General features: G+C 43.8%; 1 long non-coding RNA gene across 1 annotated transcript in view; it reads left to right on the plus strand.

Moving 5' to 3' along the window:
* MYHAS (myosin heavy chain gene cluster antisense RNA) overlaps positions 1 to 14,911 on the plus strand; it is a 242,409-nt gene that overhangs the window by 218,750 nt on the left and 8,748 nt on the right. The window contains exons 7-10 of the long non-coding RNA NR_125367.1: positions 6,264 to 6,342; positions 6,473 to 6,734; positions 10,578 to 10,693; positions 11,864 to 11,996. This is a non-coding gene — a long non-coding RNA (myosin heavy chain gene cluster antisense RNA). The remainder of the gene's footprint in view (positions 1 to 6,263; positions 6,343 to 6,472; positions 6,735 to 10,577; positions 10,694 to 11,863; positions 11,997 to 14,911) is intronic.

Raw genomic sequence — 14,911 nt, forward strand, 5'->3', positions numbered from 1 at the left:
CAGCACTCTGCTGCTGTTAGCACTGCTGATGGCAGTCCAGAGCTGAATACATGTGCAGAGAACTTCCATTTGTTAACAACCAGTCAGGGAACTTCAGAGCTAAGTTTTATTTTTGCCCAACAGCATTTATTAACACAACCCTGTTGTTTTTACCAGTTGAATTTAAGTGTCAGGTCCATCCATGACCTGGTGGTGGCCAGAGTTTCATATTGTGTGTACAATAATATGTAGCTGATGAAGGTGGGAAGAAGAGTTGGGATGAAATGGTAGGGTCCACACCTTCTGGCTTATCCCGTTACCACCTCACAATTACTATCTGAGTGGGCAATGCTTCAGATAGAGTTTGAGCTTAGACAGACATGTTAGTGATGGACCTAATCATTTGACACACCTGTTTGCCAATTGAATTGGAGTCCAGTTTGGGGGCTAAATTCCCCAAATATTTCCTGCTTCACAAGTCACACCCCCAAAGCACTGGCCAGTCGGTAACATCAGAGGGTCTCCTACATCCCAGGACCCACGGTCCAGATGGCTTCTACGCCAGGCAACCAACGGACCGTTGTGCAAACACAGTCTGTGGTTTCTCTGGCTGGTGTAGAACCCAGTCTGGAATGAACTGGGAAGTCTCTCATAGCTACATGGGGGCACATTAGGAAGGAGTATTATTTGCCAAGCAGTTAAAATAGAACTCATTGCTATTTGGTTTCTACTAATTTCCAGAATAAGTGATATCCTGTCTTTTTCACGTGGTCCCAAAAAGAAATATTTGACTATTGGAAGTCAATAGACGGGGAAAGTCTCCTTAAATCCTTCTGAATAAAAATCTTCCTATTAAATCCTACGTGTCACCATAGCCAGTTTTCATGACAAACCTTCCATCTTGGACCACATAAAAATTCAGTTAGGAGGTTCCAATCTAATGCTAAATGTTTGCTCAATGCACTTACACTGGTTTTAATTTAGCTTTCCCCGTTTATTATTTCATGCTTTGGGTAGTGTGACTCTGAGCCAATTGCTGTGAGCCATAGACTCTGCAAATGCAAACTAAATCCTATGCTACCATTCATCTCGAAAGTCCTCATTATACTTCCTAATTAAAGCTCATTTTACACATTCACTCATACAATAGATAGGACAATAGATATTTTGAGCCTCCAAGATGCATTTAGTATGATAGGACTGGTACTTAATCACTATGAAAGTGAGTAAGATAAGGTAGACAACTGTTGCCCCCACAGAGTCTAGTGGGAAGGACTCATGAATAAAAAAGGTAGCAAACAGCAATATGTTAGGAGCTAGATTTGAGAGTGTCTCACAGTGTGGCAGGAACACAGTGGGGACACGAAAAGTAATTCTTGCAAGGGTAGGAAAGGTTTCCCTGAAGAGGAGACAACATTGCAATTTATTCTTGAAAGACGGATTTGTGGACAGGGAATGGAGAAAGAGCATTCCCAGAAGGTAGAACCACATGAGCACCAGATACCACATGGAGTGGTAGGAAAGCTCGATAAGTCTGGAGAAGAGTCAGTGGTCCAGGGTGGCTGCTGTATAGGGTATGGCAGGGAGAGTGAACCCAGAAGAATCTGGAGAGATACGTAGAGGTGGGAGTCAAGGGTCTTCAGCTAATCCAGTTGTGGACACTATGAAACAGACGCAACTGACCAGTAAAACCTAAAGGGCTCTCCCTCCCACTCATTGTTACAGCTATAACAACATTGAAACCCCAAGAGAGGGATGTAGGAAGGAAGAGTGTGGACCTTGGTGCATGGAAGACTTGAGTGACTTTCTGAGCTCCAAACCTTAATATTTGTGGTTTTAGCAAATTATTTACTCTCTCCAAACCTCAGTCCTCACTCAGGCTCATTATCTGTTAAATAGGGATAAGTATGGCACCTATGTCTTAAGTAGGAGCAAAAGGAGCAAGTAAAAGAATGTATGTGAAGGACTCAGTATTGTGACTGGCCCACGGTAAGTAATCAACAGATGCTGAGTTTGTAATAATACATGATTGATAATATCTGATGAATAACGTATGATTGATAATAACATTACCTTGGTCAGGGTCAGTAGAGAAACCCAGCATATCAGGTAGATCAGCTGAGGTCAGGTTTCCCCATCACTTGGTTTCTGAGAATAGCCCCGGAGGGATTTGCAAGTTCAGCCCCATCCCTTGGCCAGATTTGCAATGTCAGGAGGACATGGCTGGCAGGCTCATTCTGTCCTCAGATTTCTTACCCCATGGGGATCAAGGAGGGAGAGCCCAAGCCTTGGATTATAAAGACATTCTTGCATCTCCCTGTGTAAAATGATAATGCCAAAGGATCCTGGCACCAGGCAAGGGCACGTGGCCCCCAGCCAAGGCTCCTTGTCCCCACATCGATTACTAGGTGCCTACTGATATTAGACCCTGGGGACTGTCTTGAAAGTCCTTGTTTCTTTCCCCTTAATGTCTTTGTTTATTTAATAGCTGCATTGTACAAGTGGGAATGGTGTGTATTTCTGTCTCCTGGCAGTGGTGGTTGACTTTAAAAAAAATGTTTTAATCCCAGCACTCTGGGAGGCCAAGGTGGGAGGATCGCTTGAGGCCAGGAGTCCAAGAGCAACCTAGGCAACATGGCGAGATCCTATCTCTACAAAAAAATTTTTTTGAAATTTAAAAATATTTTAATGCACTTTATTTTTTAGAGCAACTTTAGGTTTATAGCAAAACTTAGTGGAAAGTACAGAGATTTCCCATATACTCCCTGCCTTCATACACAGCATAGCCTCCCCGACTATCAACATCCCACACCACGTGGTACATTTGTTATAGTCCATTGACACATCATTATCGCCCTTCGTCCGCAGTGTACACTAGGGTTCACTCTTGGTGTTGCACTTTCTATGGGAGTTGTTGACGTTTTACACCAGTAGTTGTCCTGCGGAAGCCTATCCAAATAGCTCGGGGCAAGGCTGGTGATGCTAATTTATTTCCAAATAACCTGTTTTGGAGAAGGGGTTTAAGATTGAGCAGAAGTGCAAAAGAAAGAAATAAAGGCATGGAGGAAAGAAAAGAGAGAAAAGAGAAAAGACCATTCACTCACCCAGGCCAGTCCCACCCCCAGTCTCTGAAGCTCTTGGCAGGTGAAGGCTAACGCAGTTCTTGCCTAAGATGTTCACACTCTTCTCCTGTTCCCTAAATCTGCCTTACCACCCTCTTTCTGGAGTAATAGTGCTGCCTTTTCATCTTTTCCTTGCAGCTTTCTCCCTGCTCACCCTCCAGGTCTGCATGGTGAGTGCCCACCCCCACCCCCAAACTGGTATAGGGCGAAGTTTTATTTTGAGATGGAAGTCTCAGGAAGGGACTGAGGCTCCTCTGGAGATATTTTTTTTTCATCACCTAAGATAACTTATTTTAATTGCTCTTGCAGTGTTCTTGTAAGGAATTCTAAGTAAGCTCCTGCTCTGACAGATGAAGCCTTCTGGGAGGTTGGCTGTCCCGGGAGCCCTGGGTGATGCTGAGATGTCCTTTCAAACAGGCACCCAAACAGCTGAAGGGCTCCAGTTACCCTAGAGGGGAGTGACATGGACACTTCCTTTGCCAGTTGGAGAAAGAGAAGGAGGAGGGGGAGGGAGGTGGTGAAGAGAAGAACAGGAGGACAGTGACAGGAGGGTGGGGAGGAGTAAGGAAAACCAAAGGGGGACATGAAGAGCCACGGCAGTCCTGCAGGCTGGCGGAAGGGAGTGGAACATCCTTTCTCGGCCTGCACCCTCTGCTGTACTCTAGGGGACCAGGATGGCACCCTTCTTTAAACCTCAGGGTATGAGTAGTGATTTAGCAACACAAATTACACCCCTCCTAAAGTGGCGCCATTCTGCCTGACTCCCCTGGGGGATCATTAAGCAACTGCTGTAAATGAAGCTAGCCACCTGTGTGCTAGCAAGTGGCATTTGTCCTAAATCTTTGATTCAGGATTTAAATATGTATTTTACCGAAGCCATGAATTAAAAGGCATGCCCATTTACATATTTTTATTTTACCTTGGTTTTACTCACTTGGATTTTCTATATATTTCTATGACAACTATGGATTGCTTTGGTCATGAAAAAAATAATGATTTTTAATTATAAAAATTGAATTGGCCAGGTGCAGTGGCTCACGCCTGTAATCTCAGCACTTTGGGAGGCCAAGATGAGAAGATCGCTTGAGGCCAGGAGTTGGAGGCCAGCCTGGGCAACATAGCAAGACTCTATCTCTATAAAAAGCAGAAAAAAAATTAGTCAGGCGTGGTACCTTGTGCCTTTAATCCCAACTACTCAGGAGGCCGAGGCAGGAGGATCACTTGATCCCAGGAAGTTGAGACTGCAGTGAACCCCAAATGCACCATTGCACTCCAGCCTGGATGAGAGAGTGAGACTCTGTCTAAAAAATATAATTAATTATTAATAATTAATTATTATTAATTAATAATTATTAATAATTAAATATTTAACATCCAACAAAAAATTGAATTGGTTTGAAAAATTTTGCAAAACTATTTTAGACATTTTTTAAAGAAAGGGACCAAAAGATACATGTCCAATTGTTGATCTAGGTTAACTTGGGGGTTGGGGTTGGAATTGAAATGAGAGATGCGATATAGTCTTCTTTAACTGTCTCTGTATTGCCTGACTTGTTAAATGAATACCTATTACTTTTTTAACTTTTTAAGCAAATTCAAGAAAGAAAGAAAGTTAAAAGAATTATTTTGCGATGTGTTTTTAAAAAGCAAGGCTGTTTCATGAAGTGGAATACTTTTATCTCACTATTTTTTAAATTATATAAAATTTTTAGTTGAACTTAAAAAAAAAAAGAAAAAAAAAAAGACAAGGTCTCATTCTGTCACCCAGGCTGGAGTGCAATGGTGCGATCATAGCTCACTGCAGCCTCGAACTCCTGGGCTCAAGCGATCCTCCCAGCTTGGCATCCCAAAGTGCTGGGATTACAGGCATGAGCCATCGTGTTTGGCCCTTGGGCTTTATTTTATTAACAACTTAGCAAATTCCTTCTGCCAATTTTCTTTGTGTCTGCATCCCTAAGAAACATTGAGTTTTGCATTTGTCTCTCAATAGGAGAAGGCAGGCTTTTCTGTCATAATCAGATATTTCTACCCAAGGAATTCATGTATATATTTTTGACTCAGTGGCTTCAATGGCTTAAATAACTTTATTTTTCAACTATGAAGTTTCAAACTGACAGAAAAGTTTGAAAACATAATTTAATAAGTCTCCATGACCCACCATCTAGATTTAACAAATGTCATTTTTCATATTTGCTTCAGATCTTTAAAATAATTGCAATAATAAAATACTGTACTTATCTCCTGCCTTCATCCAGGAGCAACTGTCTCCCTAAAGTTGGTGTGTATCTTCCTGCCCAGTGCTTTACACTTTTATTATATGTGTTTATGTCCATAAGCACTAGGCACTATTGTTTTATATTTTAAAACTATACCTAAATAGTATGGCACTATACATATATACATATATATATTTTTATATATATTAAAAATATATATAAATATATATTTATTTTTTTATATTTTTATATATATTTTTATATTTTTAAATATATTTTTATATATAAAAATATATTTTATATATTTATATATAAACATTTATATTTATATATAATATATATATTTATATATAAAAAATTTATATTTATATATATAATATATATATTTATATATATATTTTTTGCTGCTTTTCATCAATTTTTGAGACATATATAACTCTTATTCATTCATTTTCATGGCTGTATGGCATTTCATATATGACTCTACCACAATTTATCTATCCTGTTTATCCAGTTGATGGACATTCAACGTACTTCTAATTTTTCTCTATTATAAAAAATTAAGCATTGAACATCCTTCTTTATGTCTTCTTGTGCACTGGAATCAGAATCCATCCAAGGGACTTTCCTAGGAATGGAATTGCTAGGAAATTAGTTGGTTGAACAGTCTTTTTAAATATAAAAGTGAGAGAGAAAAAGAGAATTGAACAAGGTCTTAGGTTTTCTTTAGATTTGTTGGTTTAGATAAGGATTCCAGGTCATCTCATTTTACCAGAGTACAAATTCTCCAATTCCTTTCATCGCTTTTCTCCCAAATTTAAAAACTGGGAAACCTCTTAATTAAAGCCCTGATTATGGAGAATTTGTTCAAACTCAAAGAACTAACTTATCTTGAAGCTCAACTGAGACAGGTGAATACGTTGTTTTTTTCTCTCCTTTCTCTCAGAATATTGAGTATCACTTTAGAATATATTAAACAACCTATCAAGATTAATGAGCTTATTCAGAAAAGAAAATAAGTCCTGGTAAGTAGAATAATAAATTTAAAATTCTGAATCTTTAAACCCAGGCTGAAAGATGGCCTCTAGTGTAAGCTGCATTACTGTGCTGTGACTTTATGAGCCTTCTGTAATGGTATTTTTCCCCTCCTGCTAGATCAATTTCAGCGTGTTTGGACCAGCAGATTCCAGGTGATGGATAGGCAGCTTCATTTTAATAGTCTGTTGGTACAGGGTGACCTGTAGCCTTTCCAGAAGAGGTAAAATGAATCCTCCGGTTGTCACCCCCTCCTTCCTCGCTCCAATTCCATCATTAATCCCCGTTTGAGGATTTGAGTGCTGCCGAGGACTGACAGACTCCATGAGGTTCAGCTGCTGCCTGGTACATGTGGTCACCTGCAGCTTCTTCAGCCCTACATGTGAGTAACTCAGGACAAAGGTCTACAACACCTGCCCTAAATTTCCCCAAGTCTTCCCAGCACTCCCAGTACCTCAGTCTTCTGTGTTTTAAAGTGTGATACATGCACAAGGCGTGATGTACAGCAGGAGCTAAGGTGGTCGACTGCGAAGTCCATCGCATCTTAATTGTTCTTAATTTTAAGGTGTATTTTACAGATTTTATTGCTGAAGACAAGGCTAAACAGCATTACATTTTAAAAATCATTTTTTAAAAAAAGTACATAGAAGCCGGGTGTGGTGGCTCACACTTGTAATCCCAGCACTTTGGGAGGCCAAGGTGGGTAGATCACTTGAGGTCAGGAATTCAAGAACAGCCTGGCCAACATGGTGAAACCCCATCTTCACTAAAAATACAAAAATTAGCTGGGCGTGGTGGCGCACGCCTGTAATACCAGCTACTCAGGAGGCTGAGGCAGGAGAATCACTTGAACCCCAGAGGCGGAGGTTGCAGTGAGCCGAGATCACGCCACTGTACTCTAGCCTAGGTGACAGAGTGAGACTCTGTCTCAAAACAAGTAAATAAATAAATAAGTTAAAAAGTACATAGAGATGCATGTGGCTGTGACAGTATTGGGAAGACTGTATTCAAATGACTAGATCTGGGAGACACTGATTGAAGCAAAGCACACTCTGACTTAGGGTCCTAGATAAGTCCCTGAATTTATGTGAGTGAATGTTTTCTGGGCACATTCTTTCAGTTCCTTGGGTCTCAGTTTAGCCCCTGGAAAATGCAGGCATTGGACTAGATCAGGGATTCTCAGCCCTGCCTTCACCTTTGAATCACCCGGACAAATAATGAAAAATGCTGGCATCTGGGGGCCCTCTTCAAATCAATTTCATCAACAACTTAGGGTAGGGACAGGGTTAGGCCAGGCATCAGTATTTTTTTTTTTTTTTTTGAGACAGAGTTTTGCTCTTGTTGCCCAGGCTGAAGTGCAATGGTATGGTCTTGGCTCACCGCAACCTCCACCTCCCGGGTTCAAGCGATTCTCCTGTCTCAGCCTCTCGAGTAGCTGGGATTACAAGCTTGCGCCACTATGCCCAGCTAATTTTGTATTTTTAGCAGAGACGGGGTTTCTCCATGTTCGTCAGGCTGGTCTTGAACTCCCGACCTCAGGTGATCCACCCTCCTCAGCCTCCCAAAGCGCTGGGATTACAGGCGTGAGCCACCGCGCCCGGCCAGCATCAGTATTTTTTAAAAGCTCTCCCAGTGATTGTCATGTGTAGGTAGCATTGAGAGTCACTAAGTAAGGTGATGTCTGAGGTTCCTTTCAAATCTAAGGTTGACTGATTTTCTGATCCCATGGATAGACTGTAAATGCAAAGTAAGTTCTGATTCAGTAGCAGTGGAGGAGGCTCATTGTCCCTTTCAGGCTCAGCCATAACAAGCGTGATGTTTCTCACACTCCAGGATTGGGTCAACACTGGTCTGAAAGCTCCCTGAGGGCAGAGGCTGTGTCCTTTATCTGGCTTTCACCAGTTCCTACCATAGTGCTTGGTAGACAGTAGGTGCTCAATAAATGTTAGATGAAAGAATGATAGGTTGGAGCTCAGGAATGTGATTTACTAGGGCATCTGGAATTAATCAAGTGGTCAGAAATTGGTCCATACTAACCAAACTCGCAAGGCACTGAATTTTCTACCAGAATTCCAGTTGATTATTAGTTTATTAAGGGAACTCTTCTGGGTCCAGGAAGTGAAACCAAACTCTGTTCCAGAACATTCTCTTTGTGGTAAACAATATCAGAAGGTCGCTTGGTGAGCACAGAACAAAAGTTGGATTTTTTTTTTTTTTTGAGACGGAGTCTTGCTCTGTCACCCAGGCTGGAGTGCAGTGGCTCGGCTCACAGCAACCTCCGCCTCCTGGGTTCGTGCAATTCTTCTGCCTCAGCCTCCCCAGTAGCTGGGATTACAGGCACCCGCCATCATGCCCAGCTAATTTTTGTATTTTTGTAGAGATGGGGTTTCACCATGTTGGCTAGGCTGGTCTCAAACTCCTGACCTCAGATGATCCTCCCGCCTCGGCCTCCCAAAGTGCTGGGATTACAGGCATGAGCCACCGCGCCCAGCCAAAAGTTGGAGCTCCTTATGTGCAATTTCCATCAAGCTCTGAAGGTCTGATGGCTGGACCTCCTTCTCTGTAAGCCTGTTTTTATGTAAAGTGTCAGGATCAGTCATCCAGAATCGTAGTGGGTGTTGGACCTCCTGGTGACACGCTGATAGATTTTCATTTTCCACCTTCCCCTTTGCAAATACTCATACGACCACTACCTTGCCGTTTGCACTCTTGTTACCATAACACACAGTTTCCTAAGTGTTGGATTGTTTTGCCGCTTGCTAATGACATACTCAAGAGAAACACTTCAATCTCCTCTGCAAGGTCACTCCAAATCACTCAAGCAAGACGGGTTACTTCTGGAAAGCTGCCCTGTAGACAGCTAATCCCATCCTTCTTGCAGGCTTGACTTACGGAGATGGCATTTGCTGACCTTACGTTTTTAAGAGCCATCTTATTTTGAGGGCTCTAGCACTTTGCCCACCATCTACAATTACCATGACTAAAAATACCTCGGAGGGTGAAGAATCTTCAAGGGGACTTTGCAAGTTGGAGACCGTATTCCTTCTATTTCAGTACCATATTTCAAGGCAATAGCCTTGTTCTTGCATTGAGCTACACATTACCTGCCAGACGAATATTTCACTTTACAGTTGATTGGAAGCCAATCTTGAAGCGGAACCTTGTGATTATGTCACCATTGCCCCCTTGAATGTACCCAACAGTGATTTTCTTGACAGCACCTTTACTGCTTAGCCACTGTACGCAGATTTGGCCACCTTCCCTGTGCACCTTGCCAGGGCTGCATTTTCCCCCATGAAAATGGAAGCTTCCATCGGTGCGTGTCGGCCGCAATCCTCCAAGTACCATCTCTGTCTTCCACCGCCCGCATAGTATAACTTGAGGGCTTCCACATAAACCTAGGATAGGAGAAACAGAGATGTATTTTGTTACCTAGGAGCTGGTATTTGTCTGGAGGAAAGTGTGGAAGGTGCCGCTGCAGGTTCAAACGGAGCTGTGTGCATGGCACATCTTTTTAGGCCATTGACTGGAGCAGTGGTGTGTCACTCAGAGTCACTCATGTGCAAATAGGTTGCCAACCTCTGATTGCAGGCTTAAACATGTGAGGCTCCACCACTCCCTGCCCATTTCTGAGTGTGTTTAAATAAAAGGAAGTGCTTCCACCATGTAAAAATGTTGGAGTATTGGGAGGCCGAGGCAGGCGGATCATGAGGTCAGGAGATCGAGACCATCCTGGCTAACACGGTGAAACCCCGTCTCTACTAAAAATTAAAAAATTAGCTGGGCGTGGTGGCGGGCGCCTGTAATCCCAGCTACCCGGGAGGCTGAGGCAGGAGAATGGCGTGAACCTGGGGGGCGGAGCTTGCAGTGAGCCGAGATCGTGCCACTGCACTCTAGTCTGGGCGACAGAGCGAGACTCTGTCTCAAAAAAAAAAAAAAAAAAAAAACAAAGTTAGAGTAACTCTGAGGACTTGCTCATATATTCAGGAAGCTCTTCTTTGAAATTAATTTATATATTTCTTCTCCTATACCTTCAGTCTGACTGGACTGTAGGGGAAGTGTGTGTGTGTGTGTGTGTGTGTGTGTGTGTGTGTGTGTGTGTGTGTAGGTACCTGTATGTGAATAGAACATTCATGGAAGGGCACACAAGAAACTGTAAACAGTGCTTACTTTAGGGAGGGGCATGGATGAACTGGGATACCAAAGAGACTATTTTTATTTTCAGATATTTTGTGCTGTTTTAGACTGCTCTTTCTTCCATTAAATGAGAGATTAGATCTGAATGGCCACGTGATCTTCTGAGTCCCATCTGTAAGAATCTGCATTTCCACGGAATTGGGGGTATGTTTTATATTTTCTTTCTGTAATCTTTTTACTTTACTGAATTCAACTCTGACGATTATATAGAAACACCTCATTTTTCTAGCATTACCTGAGAATGAAATTTCCCACACTGGGAATTCTCCAGGTAAATGAATCTAATCCCTTTATGTTGTTGAGGTTTGAAGTAATTTCTAATGGGATATTTAGAAGCTGCATTACATACCCCCCCCCCCCTCTTTATTTTACAGCTTGAGGAGACATGTTTCACATGCCATTAACACTCACCTATTAAAAGTTCAGTGGTTTTACGACAGTATATTCACTGAGATGTGCAATCATCACCACAAGCTAATTTTAGGGCATTTCAACACCCCCAAAAGAAACTCCATACTCATTAAGCACTCACTCCCCATTCTCCCCTTCTCTCACCTTCTGGAAACCACTCATCTATTTCTTTCTCTGTGGATTTGCCTATTCTGAGCATTTCACATGGACTCATACAATGCGGGGTCTTTTGTGTTTCCTATCCTCTTAAACAGAGTGCAGTTAGTAGCATGTTACTTTTTCTTTACGATTTAGGATTATTATGATTGGCATTGTGCCAAGCCCATGGCAACCTTGAGAAATATTTAGATAGGGCCCCTGTTTGCCTCTTATAGATTCCATGGCCCATTAATGTGCCTGTGGCTCCCTTTGGGCTCTGTGGCTGGGCCACCAGGTGACTGCTGAACACTTTGTCTTCTGATCCTGAACTCTCATGTTAACCATTATTTCCTTTCCAGTCCCCCCATGTCTGCAAAGTTGGTCATAGGTACATAAATGAGATCAGGTCTCAGCCCTCACGCCTTCGCTTGACCCAGCCTCATAAGGTCACTCCACTGCGAGCCTCTCTGGTGTGTTTCTGCCTTTCTCCTGGAGTGATGAAACAGGCTGAAATCTTTTCTTCTTGCATTGCTATCTTCAGCATCTTATATCATTCAGTCAGCTAAATTCCATCTTTGTGATAAATCCCCCACAAATATTTTGTGATCTCTCTGATCTAAGCAGTGTTAAACCTTTTGATTCCTTGTATCCTTCCTCTCCCCTTTCTTAAAATAGTCTGTAGCGCTCATGTCAAGGACCTGCTCAGCTTCCCTTTCTCTAAAATTGCATAATCCTACAAGAATATTTTCCCTTCTTTTCCTTCAGGAGCAAACGTTCTCAAAACATTCTTAAATGCAAACCCGCAGGCACAGCATGTGTCTGTCAACTCCAAGAGCATTTGGATGTTCGAAGGGAGAGGATGTTTGACATCTAACCCGTCGTGGAAAGAGGAGCCTCTGTGAGTATTTCTTTACTTCTTGGTAGGAATAGGGTGAAGGAAGAAGAGTCTGATTTAGGGTATTGTCACAGCTCTGGGTCAGACTCTTATGAGGGTTATTTGAGGTTAGATGAGTCAACTTGGCAGGGAGGGAGTGGTTACTGTTCTGAATTTGGCTAAGGGAGCATGGCAGGGTCCAACTACAGTATAGTATGGGAATTTCAGGTTGGGGGGCTTCTCATCTTATGCCTGTTGTCAGGGTAAGCCCGTAAGTGTGGGGGCACCCTTGCAGAGAGTAGCCCAGGTTCATTCTGAATTTGGAGAGACCAAGAAATTTCAGTCCGTGTCAGAGAAACTGATCCTTGGTTGGGCCTGACTTGGGCTGGGGAAGGGATGGCAAGTAGAACAGTGCTTGGCACATAGAGGTACCAGAAATATCTGCTGAATGACGGTGCCGCTGATGTCACTGAGCGGTCGGTAGCCACGGTCCGTCATGAGAGGCTGAGAGAGATTCTCAGGCCAGGCTTGGCGGGAAATGCTGTAATTTACGATTGCTCTGCCACAGGTGCAGGTGAGTGAGTGGAAGGGGCACGATGCAGGTGCAGGACCTGTGGTGGGACGTCAGAACTGGAGTCTGAATATGTTGCAGTGACCCTCAGTTGCAGACGGGAATCAGAGAAGAGTCTGGGCACATCCACTTTTGGATAACCTGACACTAAGGGATTCTGCTGAGCTCAGACCTGGGCAGATTAGCAGACAGGACACCCCCAGGCTCAGCCCAAGGTGGTTAGAATTGAGGCAGCCTCCACCGCAGCTACCCTGGTGGGCCTGCATTTGACAGACCATAAAGTGATTCCCCTCATAAGTGACCCAACCCTGCCTTCTGGTGGTCATTTCCATCAACTGCACCTGGGTTTAAAAGGACTGGTGTGGGAGCTCCTTTTCCTCACCACTCTCCTCAGCTCTCCTCAGCACTGGGGCTTTAGGACTAATTTTACTAACTCACATGAACCCAGTTCTGCTGTGATGTGAGTGTAATAAGCAGGAAAAGTCAATGTACTTCAAGACTCCATCTGGTTCCACCCATTGTCTGAGACAATTCAGTTATAGTTATAACATGTGACAGGCATCATGCAGGGCCTTGAATTTGCTTCGTAGCAGAAATCTTTTAAGGCAGGTACTATAATTATTCACGTTACCGAGGAGGAAACTGAGGCTCAGAGAGGCGCTGTTATTCTTGCTGCAAGACTATGACATTCAGCTGGGTGCGATGGCTCACACCTGTAATTCCAGCACTTTGGGAAGGTGACGGGGCAGGATTTCTGGAGCCCAGGAGTTTGAGACCAGCCTGGGCAACATAGTGATACCCTGTCTATACAAAAATTTTTTTTTAATTATCCAGACGTGGTGGCGAGTGCCTGTGGTCCCAGCTACTGGGGAGGCTGAAGCAGGAGGAACACTTGAGCCAGGGAGGTCTAGGCTGCAGTGAGCTGAGATGGCGCCACTGCACCACTGCACTCCAGCCTGGGTGAGAGTGAGACCCTGTCTCAGATAGATGGATAGGTAGGCAGATAGATAGATGATAGATAGATAGATAGATAGATAGATAGATAGATAGGTATGACATTCAGTTTTGGGTGCCACCAACCTGTTAACAATGGCACCTCCTCACCTTACCCCAGTCCATCCTTCAGACAGTGGAATTGAGGAGAATGGACAGGGAGGGGCACTTTCTATTTTATGTTTTACAAATGTATTTTTATAATGAGCATATATTATCTCTATAATTCTTTTTTAAATTGTAGACTAAATTCTGGGTGTCATCCCTGATGAAGGGATCTTGCCAGCCTAGGAAGGAGGAGGCAGGATACAGGAACTGGAGCTCCTTCACCTTGAGAGAACAGGGGTTCATAGGAGTATGGTGGCTGTCTAATGACCCTGGAAGATCCAAGAGAGCAGATTTATTCCGTGTGTGTCTCCAGCGCCCAGACCCAGGGTCAGGAGGTGGAGTTCTCAAAACGGGAGTTCAGCTGTGTGACAAAGCATCTTGCTAGCCAGGAGGGGCTGCCTTCTGCTGGAAAAAGTGGGATAACTTTGAAAGAACTTAAGCTGGAAGTTACTGGGATGTTTATACAGGAGAGTCAGTGGTGGGGAGAAGATTGGGGTTTAAAATATTAAAGCTATGGCAGGGTGCTGTGGCTCACGCCTGTAATCCCAGCACTTTGGGAGGCTTGAGGCTGGAGGAACGTTTGGGCCCAGGAGTTCAAGACCAGCCTGGGCAACGTAGTGAGACTCTGTCTCCACAAAAAAATTTTAAAAAGCATGGTGGTGTGCGGCCGAGCGCGGTGGCTCACGCCTGTAATCCCAGCACTTTGGGAGGCCAAGGCGGGCGGATCACGAGGTCAGGAGATCGAGACCATCCTGGCTAACACAGTGAAACCCCATCTCTACTAAAAATAATAATAAAAAAAATTAGCCGGGCATGGTGGCGGGCGCCTGTAGTCCCAGCTACTTGGGAGGCTGAGGCAGAAGAATGGCGTGAACCCGGGAGGCGGAGCTTGCAGTGAGCCAAGATGGCACCACTGCACTCCAGCCTGGGCGACAGAGACTCCGTCTCAAAAAAAAAACAACAAAGCAGAACAAACAAACAAACAAACATACAAACAAAAACATGGTGGCGTGCGCCTGTAGTCCCAGAGGCTGAGGCAGGAGGATCGCTTGAGCCTGGGAGGTTGAGGCTGCTGCGGGTCATGATTGCGCCCTACACTCCAGCAAAGCCTTTGATATTCCGGTCTCCCAGTCTGTGATCCTACCAGTGGGCTGCAGTACCCACTCCTGCCTCTAGGTGGCAGCCTTGGCTCTGTAAAACCCAGGTCTGTTTTTGGTGCCCTGGTTCCCACCCTTGGCTGGGTATTGTTTTCATCTGGAGATTTAGG

This window comes from Homo sapiens, chromosome 17, assembly GCF_000001405.40.
Source record: "Homo sapiens chromosome 17, GRCh38.p14 Primary Assembly".
NCBI classification, from domain to species: domain Eukaryota; kingdom Metazoa; phylum Chordata; class Mammalia; order Primates; family Hominidae; genus Homo; species Homo sapiens.